We start from the raw sequence: 20,538 nt of genomic DNA on the forward strand, positions 1-20,538 counted from the left end.
GTCCTGCTCCTCTCGGCCTTCTCCTCCAATAGGCGCCTAGCACCCTGAGTGGGCTACACCAATCAGAGACGAAGCGGCGCTAACGTGACTGACTAACTAACCAATCCAAAGTCTCAATCTCCCTGAGAGGGGCGGAGCGTACCCGGGCCAGCCCTCGCCGCCGATTGGTGATCGACCTCAGGGTTGCAGGGGCGGTGCCCTTACACGGATTGGAGAGGGCAGCGATGGGGCGGAGTTCAAGCTCCGATTAGTCCGCGCTCCGTGGCGGGCTTGGCGATTGGACGCCGGCGCTGTCAGCCGCGCGCGGACCGGGGCGGGGCGGGCGGTGCCCCGGGCTGGGCGAGGGGCCGGGTGCGGGGCCGCTGGCCGAGAGGCTGAGGCGGCGTCATGTCCTCCGAGGTGTCCGCGCGCCGCGACGCCAAGAAGCTGGTGCGCTCCCCGAGCGGCCTGCGCATGGTGCCCGAACACCGCGCCTTCGGAAGCCCGTTCGGCCTGGAGGAGCCGCAGTGGGTCCCGGACAAGGAGGTGGGTGGCCGTCGCCCCGGCCAGCGCCTCCGACCCGCCCCGCCGCCCCGGCCCGGCCCCGCGGGCTTCCAGGCTCCCGCGACGACCCCTCCGCCTCCGGGCGGCCCCTTCCCCAGCCGGCCCCCGCCCCCGCTCTCTCCCAGGTTGGCCGCGTCCCCGGGCCGCCGCCTCAGGCTCCTACGCCCGCGGGGAGGGCGGGAGGCGCGCGGTGTCCCGGTGCGGGGGTCCCGGGAGGGCAGGAGGCACCTGTCCAGGGCGGGCGCCGGGAGGCGGGGTGCGGGGCGCGGGCTGGTCCCGGGGGTGGGTGCGGCCCTGCCCGAGGCCGGTTCGTGCTGGGCTAGCGCGTGTGGACTGCGTCCCGAGAGCTGGGGCTCGCTCCCGAGAAAGTGGAAGGCGGAGCGCCTTCCTCGCAGGCTCGGTGGGGAGGGCGCGTGCTGTCCGCGGAAGCGCTGGAGCTGGCGGCCCCGCAGGGGTCCCTCCCGGGAACCGGGGGAGGCGTCGGTGCCGCGGGCGGGTGGCCGGTTCCGAAGCCACCTCCTGCTCGGAAGGAGGGCCAGGACCCAGTCTGCGGGCCAGGCTGCCCCCCGTTTCCCTTCGTCTATACCACCCTCCACCTCGGAAGCGAGGTCGCAGTCGCCCACTGGACAGTTTGAAGGAGACCGCAGATTTGCACCCGTTTCCCATGGGCCCAGACACGGCAGGAGTTGCCCAGGCCACTCCTGCAGACATTGGGGCGTGGGCGTGGGGTCCCTGAGCCAGGCCATCCGCTGGGCCTCCCGTGGGGTTCCCTGTGACCTGATCGGAGGTGCCTTTGCCTCACACCAGCCCCTTGGCCAACTGGGAAGGCCCCGAGTGCATTTAATCCCACTGGCTGTGCGCTAACAGGTGTGTCCAGTTTCTGTTCTGTGGATTTTACCACGATAAAAAAAAAATTGGGGGAGAAAAAGAATTTTTGTAATATGACTTTCATACTTAACACGTGTTACAGATTCGTTTAATTCCCTCAGTGATAGAACTAAGCAGACGTTGGAACTAGGTTCAAGAAGTCAAAGTAGCACTAATTGACTGGGTTCATTGAAGCTTGGTTGGAGGCCTGGTGGGGGGTGAGCGGCCACAGAGCCTCGGGGACAGGACGGAATTCGAGTGACTCTGGGGAAGTGTCTCTGGCATCTACAGTGTACGGAGCCATCACCGGTCACTGAGCGTGTCCTGGAGAGTTGAGACCAGTGCTGCCCACCTCTCCCCAGTATCGCCACCATGAGGAGTCTTTTTAGACACTTTCCGCCAATCATCCTCCTTCATCTTTTTTAAAATTTACTTTTAAGTTGACACGTGAAAATTGTATTTATGGTGTAACGAACTCTTAATAGCACAGAAATACTCTACGTCTGTATGAACCGTAAGGAGCACGTGAGAAAGTGTGGCCAAGATGAGGCAGAGGTTTCCACCAAAGCACAATTTCTTTCTCCCTGCTGTACACATGCACTGATCTTACGGTTCTGTTTTATAGTGAACCACTGTGTTCCCCTCCTTCATTCTCTCTTCCAGAGCCCTTCTGGTATCAGCTGAATTGTTTAGCATTTTTCCCTGCCTTTCTTTGTGGCCTCTGCTGAGGCACTGTGTGGCAGTCCCGCGGTGACTTCCGACTGAGTGGAGTTGAAACACTTGAGTCAAGGTGGCACCCCTCGTGGAAGAGAAGATTCATTCCCACGCTGGCGTGGTGGCAGGATACCCCTCCAGAGCCCCCCACCATGTTTGGATGATTAACTGGGATCTGAGCAGCTGAGGGAGGTCCTAGCATTGGGTGGGCTTGGGGGACAGAGAAACCATTCTAATAAGATGGACTTTGTCTCTGAGTTTTGCGTTGTGAATTGTATTGGAGCATGGTCTTACAGGCCAGAAACGACCAAAGACAGTGTTCTGGAGGAACTTAGAACGGGGCAGTAAGGGCTGGAAGATTTGGAATAAAGTCCAGCTTTAGGTGCAATAGCTCGAGGGGACATGTACGGTAACAGTCGCCTGGCATGTGGTGATGCTGAAGGGGACACTGAGCTACACTGTGCTGGCTGCGTGCTTGGGGCCGCTAAGGTGATTGTCGGGAGGTGACTCAAATGTGCAGATAACCAGTTGTGGGAAATAGGTTTATTTGAGGTGGTTTGGAATGGGGAGAGGAGAATTTGGTAGAACTTGGCAGGTGGGTAACATTGTCCTTGGCTTGGTGGCCGTGTGCCGATCGGCATCATCGTCATATCTGTAAACGTGTTGGTCCATTTTCATTCCAGCTCTGTTCTTAGCCAGGGGAGTCTGAATCCAGCCCAGTGCCCGTCTCCCGAATACCAGCTGCCTGACCGGGCTGGTTTATCAGTTTGGGCCCATGAGGGTTATCCCTTTAAAATGCTGCAAAACCCCCTGGGGAGCATGTGCACACATGCACCTTTCTCCGAGAGGTGGCCTGCAGCTCTCAGATTCTCAAGGCTCTGACGCAGAACCAGTTGAGAATCGTTTCTCCAGTCTGTGCCTCCTCAGGAACCTGTGGGGCAGGGGAGGCAGAGGCGGCGTGTAAAGCTTCGTGCGACACCACTTTGGATAGAGGTGCTTTGGGGGTGTGAAGGAAGCTTCAGATGATCTCTGGGGCTTGTCTGACTCTGCCATCAAATATCCGACACTGACGCAAGGCAGTGGGCTTGGGGGTGGGCGGTCCGGGCGTGCAGCCATCTGGGCTTGTCACAAGCAGCTGAGATCCTGAGTTTTATCCTTAAAATCCTTGCCGCTGTGCACCCCTCCCACCTCCCATCCGTGGTGCTGGCAGAAGAATGACCGCAGCTCCATGCTGGCGGGTTGACACTTTGATGGATACTCTAGATTCAGAGCCAGGAAGGAGAGAGCACGTGCGCGTCTGATCACGAGCCTGGACTCGGATGAGGAGAGATCTGAAGTGAGGACTGTTGCTAGAGGCGTCTGGAGCTGTGCAGCGGGGAGAACAGGGGACCCTGAGTTCTGCGAGGGTCTCACAGGCCAGGCCGGACAGGGCTTTTCTTTTGCAGGGAGGAGTGGCCAAGGCTAGAAAGAATCAAGCTGGGGAGGTGGGATGGGCCAGTGGAGGGTCAGGACCTCCAGCAGATCAGAGAGCTGAGGCCAGAATACAAAAATTAGCTGGGCGTGGTGATGAGTGCCTGTAATTCCAGCTACTTGGGAGGCTGAGACAGGAGAATCACTTGAACCCAGGAAGTGGAGGTTGCAGTGAGCTGAGATCGTGCAGCTGCACTCCAGCCTGGGCGACCAAGCGAGACTCCGTCTCAAAATAAATAAATAAATAATAAAAATTCAAAAATTAGTCGGGCGTGGTGGTGTGTGCCTGTATCCCAGCTCAGGAGGCTGAGGCAGGAGAATCACTTGAACCGGGAAGAGGAGGTTGCAATGAGCCAAGATTGTGCCACTGCACTTCAGCCTGGGTGACAGAGCAAGACTCTGTCTCAAAAAAAAAAAAAAAAAAGTCCAGGTAAGGGAATTGTGTTCCAGTTGATCATGAGGAGAAATGGCCAGTGTTTTCTGAGGCAGAGAATGGGAATTTGGAGGGCCTTGCTGCAGGTAAGCAAGGGGGGCATCTGTGATCTCCTCTGGCTCGTATGGGGAGGGTGGTTCTCGGTGGAAGGCTTTCCCAGCACACTGCAGGGTGGGGGGTTTCATAATTGTTTCCAGGATCTCAGCGCTTGGGTAAAGCTCACCCCTGTGAGGTGCCAGGGGCTGCCAGAGCCTCCACAGGTGTTCTGGGAACCAGCAGCCTCATGAGATACTGCCAGGGACACCAGCGAGCTCCTCAAGGGTCCCTGTGGCTGGCTAAGAGCTTTTTCTTTTTTGAGACAAGGTGTTGCTGTGTCACCCAGGCTGGAGAGCTGTTACTGATGTTAGGTAAAACTGAGACTTTGAAGCCACAAAAAAGGATTCCTGGGCGTCCTGTGGGAGGCCAGGCCGCCTGTAGCATAACCCTCCCAGGCTGTGATCATAGTGTCTGCACCTGTCACCGTCTTCAAACTGTCTGACAGCTTCAAATTGTAGAAAACTGATAGTAACGCACGTGTTTCTAGTCCCTGAGATGCAAGTAGATTTTGTCTCTCAGAGGTGAAGTTGATGTCCTCTCTCACACACCCCACCGCGGGGTCCCTGTGAGAGGAGCCAGTTTACAACTCATATCTTCCTTCCTCACGGCCTGTATCCATGTCTGCTCTTTGGATTCTCCTTTGAACTGGGTTTTTAGTCTTATTGGTTCTCTCATTAACTAATGAGGTAAATCTTTGACGTGGGTTCCTTTTCTGTTTGTAGGAGTTACGCTCTACCAGTTAAACGTGATTATCTTTCAATAAAGGTGCATTGATACATGCATTTAAATTGTTTTTTGATTGGCGAGTTCTTGGGGGGCTGAGAATTAGTTGACTGTGGGAGCCCCACCAGCCAGTGGGTGACGCTTCTCACTGTAGTGTGGGAGCTCAGAGTGCGTGGTGGGGCCTGATGTTTTTTGTCACCCCAGCCTCAAAGGGAGGGCAGGCCTATGTCCATGTCCAGCCTGTGTCCTGAGACTTGGTTCTTTTTATAACTTTTTTTGAACATCCATTTAAACTCCCTAAACTATACTTTCAGATTATATGGAGGCGCTTTTGGTTTCTTGCGTGCTGCCAAACCCCACTCTTTGGGGTGGGCCGGGTGCTGGTTCTGAGGAGCTGCCCTGTGACCCTCGAGGGGCCGTTCCTGTTGCATTGGAGTGGGGGAGCGGGTCTCGACCTGCAGGTCTCTAAGGAGCTCCATGCTGGTGTCTGCCGCACTGTGGAGGAGTGATGGGCTTCATGATTTCTGTTTTTTGTTTTGTTTGAGACGGAGTCTCACTGTCACCCAGGCTGGAGTGCAGTGGCGCGATCTCGGCTCACTTCAGCCTTCACCTCCCGGGTTCAAGCCATTCTCCTGCCTCAGCCTCCCGAGTAGCTGGGACCATAGGTACCCGCCACCACGCCCAGCTAATTTTTAGGTTTTATTTTGTAGGGACAGGGTTGTGCTATGTTGCTCAGGCTGGTCTGAAACTCCTGAGCTCCAGCAGTCCACCCACCTCAGCCTCCCGAAGTGCTGGGATTACAGGTGTGGCCACCACGCCTGACCTGGTTTCTTCTTTCATTGCTCGCGGCCATCTTGCTTACCCACCGGGAAGCCTAGTTTATGGCATCTGCCTTGACCGCCTCCGAGCATGTCATCTGGCAGGGTGGGTGCAAGTCAGTTGTGGTTTACTGGACTAGCAAGGAGGGGACAAGCGCCCAGGGCTCTGACTCCTGTAGGCAGCCAGGAGAAGTGTGTTCCGAAATTTCACTGGGAGCCGTCTGCATGCACCTGCCCTGATCCTCGCTCCCTCTTGGCCCCGCTTCCCTTGAGACAGCTCCTTCTGTGTCCATATAGCTTCCCGCCGAGCCTGTGATTGGCCCTGCAAGGTGGCCACGGAGGCCTCCCATGGAGGTGAGTGCCAGGCGCCCCAGAGAGGCCTGGGCCGAGGCTGCCTCTGTGACGCCACTGCACAGGGCACAGAGGGCTCCTGGAGAGCACTTGGGCCCCGCCGTCCATCCTAGGGGGCAGTGTCTGTCATTAGCGGGTTTATCTGCTTGGCTTGGGCAAGAGGGTCAGGCAGCAGATGGGTGTTATTAGGGGCACTGCCCAAGCTGACCTTGCCTCACTCTCCCTCTTCATCTCTGTGTGTTTGTCACAGCCTGCACCTCTGGCCTCGTGGCCCTCACTAAACACCTTTATTATTTATTTATTCATTTTCCTCACTAAACGTCTTGAGGCCTGTTTCATTGGGTTGTTCTTGGAGGTTTTAGTTTCCCCAGCGAATGTGCTGGTTTGAAAGTCTGCTCCAGCCCACGCTGGTGGTGACACATGTGTACCTGGGATGTGACGCAGAGGCTGGCATTCCAGACACCGCTGGCCACCTACGGTGAAAACGGATGAATCACACTTGGTTTCTGGGCTTTGGTGTATTCTCCCTAGCTCCTAAAATAGCTGTTCCACTGAGCATCAGAGCTGCGGGGTCCAGTTAAAGGAGGCGCTGGTGGGAGCCTGGTCTGGGGCCCGGCTTGCTGTCCTGCGCTTCCTTTGCGGGGCGTGCTTACTGGCGGGGTAGGTATTTGGCAGTAGTTTTACCTTATGTCTTCATCCATTGCTTTATTTCATATTAAATTGCTCTGTTGATAATTTTTTAAATTTCTTTCACTAATATAATCAATAGGAAATTACCTTATTTAAAAGCCTATACATCTAAGCTCCTTGGTTATTTTATAGTAATAAACTTCTGGATCACTTATATTTTTAAGGGGGCAAATCCTAGGTGTGGTCTGTCTCTTTTTTTTTTTTTTTTTTTTTGAGACAGGGTCTCACTCTGCTTCCCAGGCTGGAGTGCAATGGCATGAACATGGCTCACTGCAGCCTCGACCTCCTGGGCTCAAGCTGTCCTCCCAGCTCTGCCTCCCAAGTAGCTGGGACTACAGGTGTGCACCACCATGCCTGGCTCATTAAAAAAAATGTTCAGGCCGGGCACGGTGGCTCACGCCTGTAATCCCAGCACTTTGGGAGGCCGATGCAGGCAGATCACAAGGTCAGGAGATCGAGATCATCCTGGCTAACACAGTGAAACCCCGTCTCTACTAAAAATACAAAAAATTAGCTGGGCGTGGTGGCGGGCACCTGTAGTTCCAGCTACTTGGGAGGCTGAGGCGGGAGAATGACGTGAACCCGGGAGGCGGAGCTTGCAGTGAGCCGAGATTGTGCCACTGCACTCCAGCCTGGGCGACAGACTCCGTCTCAAAAAAAAAAAAATGTTCGTAGAGACAGGGTCTTGCTGTGTTGCCCAGGCTAGTCTTAAACTCTTGGGCTCAAGTGATCCTCCTGCCTCAGCCTCCCAAAGTGCTGGGATTACAGGCGTGAGCCACTGCTCCAGCAGTGTGGTGTTATATTTAGAAATTGGCCTTTCAGCTTGCCCAAACACAAACTGCACAGTAAATGTGAAAAGCAGTCCTCTTTCACCACCGTCTGCTGAGAATATTGAGAGCCCTCTCCCCTCCTGTCGGGCGCTGTGGGCCAGGGTCACCATGGAGAGACCATCAATAGTTACTCTCACTGGAACCTGGTGATAACGTGGCCTCGTGTTTGCTTAAGCTCAGAGTTAAAACCCCCGTGAAGCTTTCTCTAGCAGATTCTAGTGGATTCTGTGGCTAGTGGATGTCTGGGGTCAGGGAAGGGGCCACCACACAGAGGCAGGGACTGTGCCACCGCACAGCAGGCAGAACATTCCAGAACCGACAGGCCCATTTGAGGGCAATGGCAGGGCTGGGCTGAAGCACAATCAGGGCGGGGAACAGCCAGCCAACGCCCACAGCCCGTGGGCAGGGAGCCCCTGGCAGAGCTGCCAGCTGGACTTTTTAGATGCTTCCAGAAGGCTGGGGTGGGCCAGGCCTGGTTTCCAAGTCCAGGAAGCAGCTTAAAAGCAAAGGGAAACAAAAAAAGGCTGGTCGTGGGATCTCACAAAGCTCAGGACCTGCCTGCCTGAGTTGGGGCAGTGGCGACATGGAACTCGGCAGGGATGAGGCCCTCGTGTGGGTCGCGACGGGCCAGTCCTTGCTGCAGAATGGCGTCTGAAGGGCCCCTGATGTGCGCCACAACCGGGACCTCTGTCCTCCTACAGTGAGGGTACACGTGGCTGTGGGCCCCATAGGACTCCTTCCAGAAGCATCTGCAGAGTCCCAGGACCACCAGACTCTGTTTTGCCAACTAAGCACAGTGGGCACTTGGCACCTGATGTGGACTGTCTCCGAGCCCCCTGTGGAGGGGCTGCAGGCTTCCTGTGCTGCCTGTGTGGGTCCCGCAGGCTGGAGGGAGGCCCCTGCCTTTGCAGATTGCAGGGTGGCAGGGACACGCTGAGGGTGGCGGGGACATGGTGAGGGTGGCGGCTGTGATGGCACCGCATCAGAGCAGCTCCTCCACACCAGCGTCTTCTGGGGCTCAGAGAAGGGGTTGGACTTCCCAGAGAAGGGGTGCAGGGCAGGGAAGAGTCCCCATGCCTATGAGGGAGAGGATCAGGGTGGGGTGATGGAGGATCCGTGGCTGGGCCCCCAGACCACAGGGAGGCTGTGCAGCCATGTCAGAGGCGCTGGGGGATTGGGCGGCCGCGCGGTCCCCACCCCAGCTCAGACCCAGGGGCCTGTGTTCCAGAAGGTGCTCGGCCCCGGTGACCCCACAGGCCTTGCCTGCCTCCTTGTGGAATCAGCCCCAGCAGTGTTCGCCGGCCCAGGGTTGGGCTGGAACGGTGCCATGCGTGTGGGAGCAGCTTTCCCACGGAGGGGCCGAGCCCTGTCAGCTGCTTGTCGGTGCCAGCACAGCCCGTCTGTCCTTGGTGGAGCTCTGAGGCGGCTCTCGCGTTAGATAAGACGTCTGAGCTCTTGTGTGGCTTGGTAATGCTGTGGCCACCTCCAGTCTGCCTCCTTTTCGAGACTTCAGGCCCTCAGTTTATGCTCGCCAGGTAATTCCTGGTCTCGTTTGGGGGCCCCCTCCTTCCCCCAGAAGGGAAAAGGGGGCTCTTCGTGGAGCGAAGGTCTTCTCTTACATCTCTTTTGAGGATTATTGTGCTTAGAACATGGATGATTCTTGGTCAATATTCAGCCGAGCCCTTAATCATCAGAAGCCAAAAGACCCTCCATCTCTCCCAAGAGGACCCCTTTGACTCCCACCGTTCCGTCGCTGGTTCATTGAACCCACACCTGTTTCTGGTTCACCACCCGCCACCGAGGTCTCTGACAGCGAGGACCAAAGCGGGGTGTGCTTGTCACACCTTGTTTCATCCTTACCAAGGACCCCAGAGCACGAGGGTCTTGTTCTCATGAAGCTGAGGGAGGCGAGGCGTCCTGGGTCCCGCAGCCCCCAATGCGCTGCTGAAGGGCCTGCTGGGGAGCGGGTGGGCAGCACCGAGGGCCAGCTTTGAAAAAGGCTGTACCGGCTTACCAAATCCGGGGACCATTTTCGTGGCAAAAGTGTCCCTCACTCTGTTAAAAGAATGCATGGTGACACAGATTTCCTTCAGAGCCAGGTCTGAATGTCTTCCCCTTGGACTGAAGTCCCTGCTGTTAGAGCGGGGGAGCCGGCGGCGATGGCGGCGTCCTCGTGCTGCGCTCGTGCCGGCGTCAGGGTCCCCCTGCCATCTGGAGTGAGCAGGAGGCGGCCAGGCCAGGCCTTCCCAGCTGAGGTTTGGGAGTTCCGTGCCTTTGGTGCTGAGGGTGAGCGTGTTCACGGTGACTTCGTCCCTTGGTCATGAGGAGGTTCGAGCTAGGAACCCCCTGCAAGTGGTCAACGCATCCGGCTTGCTGTTCTAAGTGGAGGCGGCAGGCACAGCTGGGACCCACGCCCCTCAGAAGCAGGCTCTGTGGTGGTCGGAGCAGGCACCTCACCAGGCCACGCTCCATTTGGGGCTGCTGAGAAGCTGGCTGTGGCCAGTCCTGAGGTCTCTGCAGCCCTCGGGAGCTTGGAGGCCCGGCTGGTTTTTCTAAGGAGTTGGCCGGGTGGCCATGGCTGCCCACAGTGGGGTGTGACCTTGGGCTTGTGGCCTCCTCAGTGAGGGCCTCCTGGCAGGGGCTGAGAGCCCAGCGTCAGTGGGGGGCTTCAGCATAGACCACCACATGTGTGTCTCTGGGTGCTTGGTAAATGCACCCTGTGCTTCGGTGACAAGTTTTTTTGTCTAGTCAAGTGAAGCAGTGGAAATGCAGGGAGCATCTTAAATCTGTTTTATTTCTAACTGATTTCAATTCCACCTTTACCCTTAGGCCGACCAAGCATCTGAGGTGCCGGGACAGTACCACCTTGCCATGGGGCTTCAGGCCTGCTGTGACCCCTTGGGGAAAGTGAGCCCCATGGCCACCTGCCCAGTTCCCAGGTCTTGTGCTGTCAGAATTCCTGGTGGGCCCTGAGCCCAGTCACCTTCCTGTTTCTGTCTACCTTTGTACATTCTGTGTGCATAGAACACTCTTGGCCAACAAAGTCCAGCCTTGTGAGCCCTGGCTTGTGAGTCTTACAGCTTCTCTGTGCCTGGGTCCTCCAGCTGAGGAAGCATCTTCAGGGCGTCCCCAGGCCTGGCGCCCGCCCCCGTGGCACACACCGGCCTGCGTGTGCTTCAGCTGCTTCCAGGGGTTCCCTCACAGGCGGGGGTCAGGGCACGCACGCCAGGACTCCAAGTAAACTAGAATAATAAGCTTTATGTCTCAGATACCTGGGCTTTTGCCGGCTGGCGCGCAGCCCCAGAATCAGCACCTCCCCATGCTCGCCTCGTTTGTGAAGTGGGTGCTAGCACAGCCTTCCCTGGTTTAGGGGTTTAGGTTGGCTCTTGCTGTGGATTTCCTAGTCCCTTCGTGGCGTTGCTCTTTGGTTCCAGTAACAGGACCAGGGCTAAAAAGGCGTTGTTAAGGTGAACTGCTGTTGGGTCCAGTGTGGAGGGACCTGAAGTGCCAGGATGCATGCTCTGCTGCGAGACAGTCAAACCCCAAGCCCACCTCAGGCCCCATGGTTACGCTGGGTGCATCTCCCGCAGGCCTGGGAGCAGCCTGCACCCCACCGCATTGGCTCTGGAGCCTGGGCACAGGCGGCCAGTCCACCGTCCTGCGTCACAACCCTGCCTGCCTCAGGCTGCTTGGGTGCGTGGGGAGGTGGCAGGGCCCAGCTTTCTCAGCAGCCCGTGGTCGTGCCCCAGCGACGTGGTGAGTGACCAAGCTGCGTTTTAACGCTTTGTCGTGTCTTTCCTAGTGTCGGAGATGTATGCAGTGTGACGCCAAGTTTGACTTTCTCACCAGAAAGGTGAGCTGAGGCCGCTGAGTGGGGGTGGTGGGAAGAGGGGAGGGGCCCCAACAGGACAGCTGCCGCTGCCCCTTCTGGCAGGGGACGGATGTCATCTTATGGCTCGTTTTTTTTTTTTTTGAGACGGAGTTTCGCTCTTGTCGCCCAGGCTGGAGTGCAGTGGCTCCATCTCGGCTCACTGCAACCTCTGCCTCTCAGGTTCAAGTGATTCTCCTGCCTCAGCCTCCTGAGTAGCTGGGATTACAGGGGCTTGCCACCACGCCTGGCTAATATTTATATTTTTAGTAGAGATGGGGTTTCACCATGTTGGCCAGGCTGGTCTCGAACTCCTGACCTCAAATGATCCTCCCACCTCGGCCTCCCAAAGTGCTGGGATTACAAGTGTGAGCCACCACACCCAGCCGTTATGGCTCATTTTGAGTGTCAGCCATGCCCTGTTTCCGTGGAAAGTGACTGTGCTGATTCTGCCGGACGCTATGGGGTGGGGGTGCAGCTTGCGAGGCCTGTGCACCCACCTGCCCCCCGCCCCCTCTGCCCCCTCCGCCCCGTCCCCGTGCCGCTTTGCCCTCGTGAAGTGTCTTGCCCCTAATGTGTGCCCAGCTCATGGCGCCCCGAGGCGCGAGGGCGTCCTAAGCAGTGGGACTTGGGTAGTTGAAAGAAAGCTGAAAAACAGCCATTTTGATCCATGATTTTGAAAAAAGGGCCTCATTTCCCAGGTGAGGCGGATCCCCGCTGCGTGGTGGGGAGCCCAGGGGCTGGCGACAGGAGGTGCGCGTGTGCAGCGGCCGGCACAGGGGCCTCGCGTTTAGGCGTGGCCCGGGGAGTGCCAGGCCAGCCGGGGCCACACCCGGGGCCGCTTGTTCCCTGCCCCTCCTCACTGCCAATCCTCCCGCATCTGCCCAGCACCACTGTCGCCGCTGCGGGAAGTGCTTCTGCGACAGGTGCTGCAGCCAGAAGGTGCCGCTGCGGCGCATGTGCTTTGTGGACCCCGTGCGGCAGTGCGCGGAGTGCGCCCTCGTGTCCCTCAAGGAGGCGGAGTTCTACGACAAGCAGCTCAAAGTGCTCCTGAGCGGTAAGGACGGGTGTCCTGCACAGTCCCGCGCGCTCCGCCAGCCGGCTCCTCGTGTCTGTGGCGATGCTGTGGGCTGTGCACGGGGCGTTCTGCTTCTCTGACGTTCTCTCGCCCTCCCTCCCTTCCCCGTTTTCTTCTGGATTCGTTTAGAAGCGGTTATAGAGCCTTCCCTTCTTTTCAGAGGCGGAATGTCGTCTAAAATGTTGGTGCTGACTCCGCTGGGCACGTCCATCAGGTGGGAGGGGAGGCCCTGGGCCCAGGCAGCACCTTCCTCCTTCCCCCGGGTGGAACCCGGCGCCGGCGCTCGGGCGTTTGCAACCACTGTGGCTCCTCGGAGGGGCCGGAGACCTTTGCCCAATAGCACGATGCAGACCCGGTTTTGAGCCATCTCTGGGGACCTGGTGTGGGAGAAGGGCATTCTCCAGGGGCATAGGGTGTGCCTCCCTGGAATCTGAACAACGAGCAGCGCCTTCTCCCCACTGTCCGTCCACCTCTGGCCACTGCCGTCCCAGCCTCCTGTCCCCTGCCTGCCCGCCGTGGGGTCTGGGACCACCTGCCTTCCTGCCCACAGCTCCATCCTGTGTGAAACGGGCATGGTCCCTGGCTGGACGGTGGGCTTTGTTGTGCCTCCTTTCTGCTGTCTTGGTCCTGTCCTGCCAGCTCTTAGGACGTGTGAGCAGAGTGGTTTATTGTTCTTTGATCTGGACCTTGGTGATGAATTCCCTGCATCGTTTGAAGGATGTAAAAGAATTTCTAGGAGCTTTGTAAGCAAGCAGAACCTGTCTAGAGCAGCGCCTTTGGGTTTACCTCTTAAACCCTTGATCCATGACTGCCTTTTTGCTCAGCTGAAGGGGTCCTTAGAACAAAGCTGTGGTTTGTTTCTTGCTGTTTTTACTCTGTCCTCTGTGCGTGCGTCTCCTACTGGTACTCGTGGGAAGGGTTAGGTGGAAAAGAAGCAGGCCCTGTTCTCACGTTTGCTTTTGTGTTCCCAAGGAGCCACCTTCCTCGTCACGTTTGGAAACTCAGAGAAACCTGAAACTATGACTTGTCGTCTTTCCAATAACCAGAGGTAAGAGCCGGATCCTGCTTGGCACGGGGCAGCATTGTCACAGACCGGGAGCCTCGGTGGCACTGAGCCTGAGAATGACCCGATTTGGACACTTTTATTTGATGTAGATACTTGTTTCTGGATGGAGACAGCCACTATGAAATCGAAATTGTACACATTTCCACCGTGCAGATCCTCACAGAAGGCTTCCCTCCTGGAGGTAAATGCCAGCACGTCCTTTCCTAAGCCAGGAGGGTTTGGTGCCATGCGTGGGTGACAAGAGGAGCATGCACTTTTGGGATCAGGCAGCTGCCCTGAGGAGTGGGGTCTGCTGGGTTTCCAGGACAATCTGCCTTTCCTCTTTCGCGGGGCGTGTATTTACTCAGTGGCTTTAGAACTCGCCAGGTGAGTGGAGACTTAAACTGTAAGACAACAAAGGGACATTTGCCTCAGCATGTCATAATGATTTCCTCTGCTCTAAATGCTCTAACGTATCATTCGGTTTATTGTTGGATTCAAACCAAGGATAAAGCCCCAAATGCAATAACTGAGATCCCCAAAAAGGTCTGAATGGTGGCTCATCGGGAGCCAGCACTTCAGCCCTCCTCCTGCAGGCGTCTGTGCAGACTAAACCCCTGGTGCATTTCCTGGTGAGCTTTGGCCCATCCTGGGCCTCTCCACTAAACTCTGCTGACGGGGAGCTCGCATCCCGTTATCTGCAAACTGTGCTGACAGATGCGTGTGCCGTAACCCATGTTGCTTTCCTTCCGTTCTCTCACCGGCTCTTGGTTGCTCCTTCTCGCCACTGCCTGCCCACCTTCTTGCCATAGAAAAAGACATTCACGCTTACACCAGCCTCCGGGGGAGCCAGCCTGCCTCTGAAGGTCAGCCTCTTCCTCCTCACCGGGGCTCCCCGCATGCAGCGGGCCCGTTCCTCCCCTCGCCACCTGGCTTCTGTCCACGGGGTGGTCCATGCCAAGGTTCTTTGTGAAACCTGAATTCACTTACTTTGGTTGACTTAAGAGAGATGTTGGATCTGATAAGTGGGTTTATAAAGCATAAATGAAGATACCGCAGCAGATGTACTTTCTCAGTTCTGTCTCAGCGGGAGGGTTACCCAGCAATTGACAGCTCTCTGTCAGTACCTGCCAGCCCTGAACAGGCTGAGGCCAGGGGGCGTGGGGGCTCACCTGCCCTTGGGAGCCTCTGCCAACACTGCCCTTCCCCCCGAGGCCTGCTGCTCCCCAGCTCAGTGTGGCCTCCTGGGACCCCTGACTCTCCTGGCACTTCTGTCAGCCTCCTGGATGGTGAGGTGAGATGCCCAGGCCAGTGTTCTGTCCTGAGCTCAGGGATGTGTGTGGAGCCGGGATGGCATCAAGCTGGTTGCCTTGAGCAGGCTGCAAGGTATAGATGCCCAGGTGCAAAGGGTAGGGTCTGGAGAAGCGGGGGTCACCCCAGGCACCCCTCTCTGCCTGCCTCCTCCTGGGGAGCCTGAGGCTCAGATGAAGGCCAGTGTTTAGGGGCATCAGATGAAGGCCAGTGCCTCAGGAGGCCAGGGCAACACAGCCTCCCGGACTGCTCTCCCGGGCAGACCCTCCCCAGGGCTTCTGGCACTGTGTCCCCCTTGTGGTGGCTTGGGGGGTGCAGTGAGCCCCGCTCTGCCCAGTCTCAGTAGAGCCCTTCAGACCCCAGCACCCTGTCTTCCGGTGGGGGTGGGGACAATAGGAACAGTCCCCTGACCTGAAGGCAGCCAAGGGGCCGCCTGCCAGCCTGGGCCCTGTAGGGCAGGCCACACACTCATTCTTTCAAGGCCAGATAGTAAACCTTTGCCAGCCACGTGTGCTGTGGTGAAGGCGGAGGCGGCTGCAGAAGACAGGGTGACAGACGGCCATGGCTATGATCCAGTGGTGCTTTATCAGGCAAATGCAGGCGGTAGGCAGAGCCATGGTCGCCCTGCTCTAGAGCCTAGGCAGGACGTTACACTGACAGGCAAGGTTCCCCAGTGTTGGGGGTGGGGGTGCGTGCCCTAACCACAGAACCGGGCTTATGAAAGTGTGGTTCTAGAGGCCCGGCATGGTGGCCCACGCCTGTAACCCCAGCACTTTGGGAGACTGAGGCGGGCAGATCACCTGAGGTCAGGAGTTCGAGACCAGCCTGGGCAACATGGTGAAACCCTGTCTGTACTAAAAATACAAAAATTAGCTGGGTGTGGTGGTGGGTGCCTGTAGTCCCAGCTACTCGGGAGGCTGAGGCAGGAGAATCGCTTGAACCCAGGAGGCGGAGGTTGCAGTGAGCTGAGATGGCACCACTGCACTCCAGCCTGGGCAACAGAGACTCAAAAAATAATTAAAATAAAGCCAGGCACGGTGGCTCATGCCTATAATCCTAGCACTTTGGGAGGTTAAGGCGGGCAGATCACCTGAGGTTGGGAGTTCGAAACCAGCCTGACCATCATGGAGAAACCCCGTCTCTACTAACAATACAAAAAAAAAAAAAAATAGCTGGGCGTAGAGGTACACGCCTGTAATCCCAGCTACTCAGGAGGCTGAGGCAGGAGAATCACTTGAACCCGGGAGGCGGAGGGTGCAGAGCCGAGATCGCACCACTGCTCTCTAGCCTGGGCAACAAGAGCAAAGACTCCGTCTCGGAAAAAAAAAATGTGGTTCCGGGGCCTCCCAGGGGACAGCGTGTCATAGGTTGCTCAGGCCTCCAAGCACGGTCGGTGGGCCTCCGACTGCAGCCTTGGTGCCCACTCCACCAACCGGCAGAAGAGCCGGCCCTGAGTGCTGATGGGGGGATGTGTGTCTGATGGAGGGGTCTCCTGAGAGGTCAGTGATTGCCTACGATGGGGCTTCCCTCCCAAGTCATCAAGTTCATGGGAGGCTGCATCCCATGGGTCTCTTTCAACACCAGCCCTGACTGAAGAGCTGCTCTCTTCAGCAGTGTATTGTTGGAGCGAGTGCTGGAATTGAGTCATTGTCACTGGAACAGCTGGTCACCGCCCAAAGACGGGGAGCCTGGGTCCCAGAGACCAGTCCCCAACATGGGTGCTGGGTCTGGGGAGATGGCCCGTGACCAGGCTGGGGTGGCATTTCCCTGACACTGGGCCTTTGTAGTGACAATCCCCTCTGTGCTGACGCCGCTTCTCAACGGTGGGATGGCTGAGGCCTCTGACTCCTGGGTGAGGCCAGCTGTGTCCCTGACCATCTGCTTGGCCTGTCAGTGGCCAGGGCACTCTCGAGGTGGCCTCCACTCTTCCCCCAGCCCTGGGTGCAGGTGGGCACCTCTGCAGGAGCCAGTCTTGTCTGGAGGTTCTCTGAAGGCAGGAACCCCCACAGGCCCCAGGGCATAGCAGCGCCTCAATTAGCCGAGAGCAAGGCCTCTCGTGGTGATGTGGCTCTTGTTGTTTGTCCCGGGCCCTGGGGCACCCGGCTGAGTGTCTTGGTCCCTCTCCCACCCCACCTGTGAGCTTGGGGTCTCCCCTCAGAGGCCTGAGGAGATGGTGTTCCCTGGGTGCTCCTGAGCACCAGCCCTCACTGCCAGGCTACTCTTGGAGCAGCACAAGGTTAGGATGTGCTGGCCACCGCCTTGGGGCTGGTGGCCGCCTGGGCACTCAGGGCCTCCTTTGGGCCGTCTTACCTCGTCTCTCTCCTCCAGGAGGCAACGCACGGGCCACAGGCATGTTCCTGCAGTATACAGTGCCGGGGACGGAGGGTGTGACCCAGCTGAAGCTGACAGTGGTGGAGGACGTGACTGTGGGCAGGAGGCAGGCGGTGGCGTGGCTAGTGGCCATGCACAAGGTACCTGAGCCCAGGCCAGGGAGGCTGGGCCCTTTGGCTTAGACAAAAGCTTGCCTTTCCCAGAGGAAGCTCTGTGTCCTGCCATTTGCCCCCTATCCCCACAACCTGTTCCCCCTCAGCTGGGGTGCCCACGCCATCTCCCCTGAAATGCACACAGGCTTGGCTCCACCAGGCACAGGACCAAGCAGGCCTCACTGTGTTGATCTTGTCTGATCTGCAGGCTGCCAAGCTCCTCTATGAATCTCGGGACCAGTAACTCTACGTGGGGCTGAGCTTGGAGTACGTGTGGTCACCAGGACTGAGTCGCTTGGAACAGCAGAGCCTGCTCCTTGCGTACCACAGGGATTAATCCTGCTTGTGCTGGGAAATGCAACTCACTCATGTATTTGGAGAAACAGGAGTGTTCACTTATCTAGTGCAATATGTTCACAGTTTATTAATGCTTTAAACAGCTTCATGTTTTAGAATTTGTGTATTGTCAATACTTAATTGGGGGTGGGAGAGACTGAGCTACACTACTGCTAAACTATTTTTAGCATAATATATACCATTTTTATGAGTTCGCAGGTCTACTAGAAGGTTCTGGCCCATCAATATTCATTTCATTTAATTCTTCCACAGAACCAGTTTGGGCAGTAGGAACTCAGGCTTCTGGTCTGCAGTGGAGCCTGTTCGCCTCTAATAGCCAGTTTACAGCACTTGCCTTAGCCTGTTTCACAGACTTGTCCACTTACCTTGTCACTAATTTGGGGCTTCTGGGCTGTGAGTGATCCTTTGATACTTCACCAAGGGGAACGTGGGGGCTTTGTGTTTTGTACTTTTCACTCACTATTTCACTTTATTAAGATGACTGTACAGCAATTTGTATATAAAGCTTATGATTAAAAACTATTTTGAACATACGGACAAGGCCTCGCCTTCCTGTGTCCAGATCACCTGAACCCTCGTGCCACAGCGCAGTCTGGGTCCAGAAAGAAGACTCACAGCCGCCGGGGTGAGACGGGTTTATTGTGCACATTTACACAGCGTCAGCAGCGTCTGGGCTGGCAGCGGCCATGCTCCTGTGGTCGGGCTGCTCTACAAGGGCGTTCACTTTTCTTCACCACACTATGTACAGTCAGTGCTCCAAGGTGATGGGCTACAGTGCTGCATCAGTGAGTCTGTACACACATTTTTACATAAATTACACACGACTCATACATGAAAAATAGAGCCTAAGGGCCTGTATTTTAATGAGAAAAAAAAAATTTCCAACATAGTTCGGGTAGCTTTGAATGGTCTAGTCAAAAAATACTTTTGGTATATAAAAAGCCTGTACGTACAATTCACACCTCAGTGAAGCGCCCTCCTTGCCTTGAGGCTGGGCCTGGGACAAAGGTGGCCTCACAGCCAGCCCAGGCAGGGAGATCGGCAGAGAGGGGTGGCCCCTGACCCCAGCTCCTCTGCCCCAGCTGCTGCTCCTTGGTGGCGGCCCCTCCTGACACCAGGCGTCTGCCATCCTTCAGGCACCAAACAGCCCCGTCTACCTGGCCCTGGTCTGCCCTCACACCAGTCCACCCCCAGCCCCAACCCCAACCACCCTCCGCTGCCACGGCCTCCAGCACCTGACTCCATTCAGGGAACTGAATTTGAGCTTGCAGGGGTGAGAACCACACTGAGCAGCATGACAGGCTGTGAGATCGGAGGAGAAGAGTATATGCTGAGGCTCTCCCAGTTGTCACTTGGTCTTAGGGGTCCTGGTGCCCGTGGCGCGGCAGTCCAGCCACAGTGCTGGGCCTGCACAATCAGCCTTTAGGTGAACTGGAACAGGAAGCGGAACCCCCAAGGCGGCCGAGCAGAGTGGGTACTGGGAGGCATACACACTGGGCAGCAACACTGGACATGTTTCCATACAGAGGCTCCTTTGGTGATGAAGGGAAGAAGGATCATGTGTGGGAAGTGTGAGAAAGGATGAGTGTCCGATTCGGTGACGGGGGGCAGGGCGGTCGCAGGGGAGCAGGCCTCACAGCGGCGGACAGTGTTCACTGCTGGAGGGGGTGATGGCCTCGGGGCCAAGTCAGTAAGAGCTTCTGTCTTCACTGGCAACCAACCGGGGGTTATGGGACTTCTTAATGGCAAGAGGGGTGGGTGTTTTGAAAGTGGGTATTTATTTGGATTTATAGTAATTGGCAAAATTCAGTCCTTGGAGGCGAAAGTACCTCTCCCAGTTAATGGGCAAACTGGAGAAAGGGCCTCACCTGGAAACTGTAGGATTCACATTGTGGACGCTGTCTGCTAAAGTGAGCACCATTAAGACCATTTTCTAGCTGCAGCTTTCCTGGAAAACAGCACAATAATCTCTTAAGTGGCTCCTGGTAGCTGGCAAGACCATGCGGTGCTCCAAAAGGAAGTTCAGGCGAGTGTTCGCTGTCGGGGTTTGATCCGTGGATACAGCTGGGAAGCAACGGAGCCGCGTCAGGACAGGAAGCCACACACAGGGAGCAGGGCCAGCCAGACCCGACCCCTGCTCCTCACCTCAGCCACCCTGGACAGCCGTGCAGCACCCTTGTCCCTCAGGCCTACGCTCAGCTGCACCTCTACACTGAGACCCACCCAGCCCTCTTTAAAATGTGCCTTGTACCCCCAGAATATCCTATTTTTCTCACAACACTTCATGCCACCTAAAGACTTGTGACTGCCTGTGGCTCTCAAGGTCATAAGCTCCCCTGGGCAAGGGTCTCTGCCTGGCTCCCTGCTGTGTTTGCCTGGCCAAGAACGTTGGCTCAACAGCAAGCCCCTGGCAGCTCTGCAGGGCACAAAGAGAGCAGAGGCAGCTCCCTCTGCCAGAGGACTGAGGGAATCACAAGTCCAACACAGAGCTAGCAGCCTGCACGTTCCCACCTCTCCCTCCACTGGAGAAATTTCTAGGCTGCAGAGATTTCTAGATTGGGGAAAGTGTGGGTGGGCTGAGCCGGGCCACTTGGTGAAGTTCATCATGAACCGAGCTCATTGAGCGGCCCCTCACTGGGGCACTCAGCCTCCGCACGGGCCTCCATGGCATAAGCATGGCTGGGGGAACCTCCTGGGGCCCTGCCTGAGCCTCATGCCAGCTCTGCCAAGTAGGCACCTCCCCCTCTACAGAGGGGGCTGCTGAGGCTCAGAGAAGCGAAGCCTCCCTCCCCAGCCCCACAGCAGGATAGGACCGCATGCTGTACAGAGACACGGGCAGCTAGTTTCCCAGTAAGTAACCT

At 57.0% G+C, this 20,538-nt stretch overlaps 2 protein-coding genes across 14 annotated transcripts in view, besides 6 other annotated features; one reads left to right on the forward strand and one right to left on the reverse strand.

The window, feature by feature from the left end:
• Positions 20-589: a silencer, noted in NCBI's record as "silent region_6171". NCBI's record gives its function as "represses an Ori minimal core promoter by ATAC-STARR-seq in GM12878 lymphoblastoid cells {active_cell/tissue: GM12878}" and the evidence as "EXISTENCE:reporter gene assay evidence [ECO:0000049][PMID:35858748]".
• On the forward strand, positions 356-18,210 carry ZFYVE21 (zinc finger FYVE-type containing 21). Of its 2 annotated transcripts, NM_001198953.2 has the most exons (8): positions 356-525; positions 11,338-11,388; positions 12,292-12,460; positions 13,454-13,529; positions 13,637-13,728; positions 14,339-14,392; positions 17,166-17,308; positions 17,529-18,210. In NM_001198953.2, the coding sequence occupies exons 1-8, from the start codon at positions 388-390 to the stop codon at positions 17,562-17,564; spliced, it is 759 nt and encodes a 252-aa protein (NP_001185882.1). In that variant the 5' UTR covers positions 356-387; the 3' UTR covers positions 17,565-18,210. The 2 variants fall into 2 exon arrangements, with proteins under 2 accessions (NP_001185882.1, NP_076976.1); NM_024071.4 differs by lacking the exon at positions 14,339-14,392.
• Positions 780-859: a silencer, noted in NCBI's record as "silent region_6172". NCBI's record gives its function as "represses an Ori minimal core promoter by ATAC-STARR-seq in GM12878 lymphoblastoid cells {active_cell/tissue: GM12878}" and the evidence as "EXISTENCE:reporter gene assay evidence [ECO:0000049][PMID:35858748]".
• Positions 960-1,029: a silencer, noted in NCBI's record as "silent region_6173". NCBI's record gives its function as "represses an Ori minimal core promoter by ATAC-STARR-seq in GM12878 lymphoblastoid cells {active_cell/tissue: GM12878}" and the evidence as "EXISTENCE:reporter gene assay evidence [ECO:0000049][PMID:35858748]".
• Positions 1,090-1,169: a silencer, noted in NCBI's record as "silent region_6174". NCBI's record gives its function as "represses an Ori minimal core promoter by ATAC-STARR-seq in GM12878 lymphoblastoid cells {active_cell/tissue: GM12878}" and the evidence as "EXISTENCE:reporter gene assay evidence [ECO:0000049][PMID:35858748]".
• Positions 2,720-3,230: an enhancer, noted in NCBI's record as "H3K4me1 hESC enhancer chr14:104184511-104185021 (GRCh37/hg19 assembly coordinates)". NCBI's record gives its function as "activates a minimal SCP1, AML or CMV promoter by ChIP-STARR-seq in primed H9 embryonic stem cells {active_cell/tissue: H9 hESC(primed)}" and the evidence as "EXISTENCE:reporter gene assay evidence [ECO:0000049][PMID:30033119]".
• Positions 5,848-6,348: an enhancer, noted in NCBI's record as "H3K4me1 hESC enhancer chr14:104187639-104188139 (GRCh37/hg19 assembly coordinates)". NCBI's record gives its function as "activates a minimal SCP1, AML or CMV promoter by ChIP-STARR-seq in primed H9 embryonic stem cells {active_cell/tissue: H9 hESC(primed)}" and the evidence as "EXISTENCE:reporter gene assay evidence [ECO:0000049][PMID:30033119]".
• PPP1R13B (protein phosphatase 1 regulatory subunit 13B) overlaps positions 17,741-20,538 on the reverse strand; it is a 115,620-nt gene continuing 112,822 nt past the window's right edge. For 8 of the 12 annotated variants that reach the window (XM_005267487.6, XM_011536593.4, NM_015316.3 and 5 more), the window contains one exon: positions 17,741-19,741. In XM_005267487.6, the coding sequence (XP_005267544.1) occupies positions 19,700-19,741 (42 nt within the window). In that variant the 3' untranslated portion in view covers positions 17,741-19,699. The remainder of the gene's footprint in view (positions 19,742-20,538) is intronic. The other 4 variants (XR_007063997.1, XR_001750205.3, XR_001750206.3 and 1 more) reach the window with 3 other exon arrangements.

This window comes from Homo sapiens, chromosome 14, assembly GCF_000001405.40.
Source record: "Homo sapiens chromosome 14, GRCh38.p14 Primary Assembly".
NCBI lineage: Eukaryota > Metazoa > Chordata > Mammalia > Primates > Hominidae > Homo > Homo sapiens.

Excerpts from the sequence above, each read along its gene's own strand:
- ZFYVE21 (NM_001198953.2), top strand. The coding sequence starts at position 388 with ATGTCCTCCGAGGTGTCCGCGCGCCGCGACGCCAAGAAGCTGGTGCGC. Across the intron at positions 14,393-17,165 it reads GAGCCAGCCTGCCTCTGAAG|GAGGCAACGCACGGGCCACA; the intron begins GTCAGCCTCTTC and ends TCTCTCCTCCAG. Across the intron at positions 17,309-17,528 it reads GGCTAGTGGCCATGCACAAG|GCTGCCAAGCTCCTCTATGA; the intron begins GTACCTGAGCCC and ends TCTGATCTGCAG.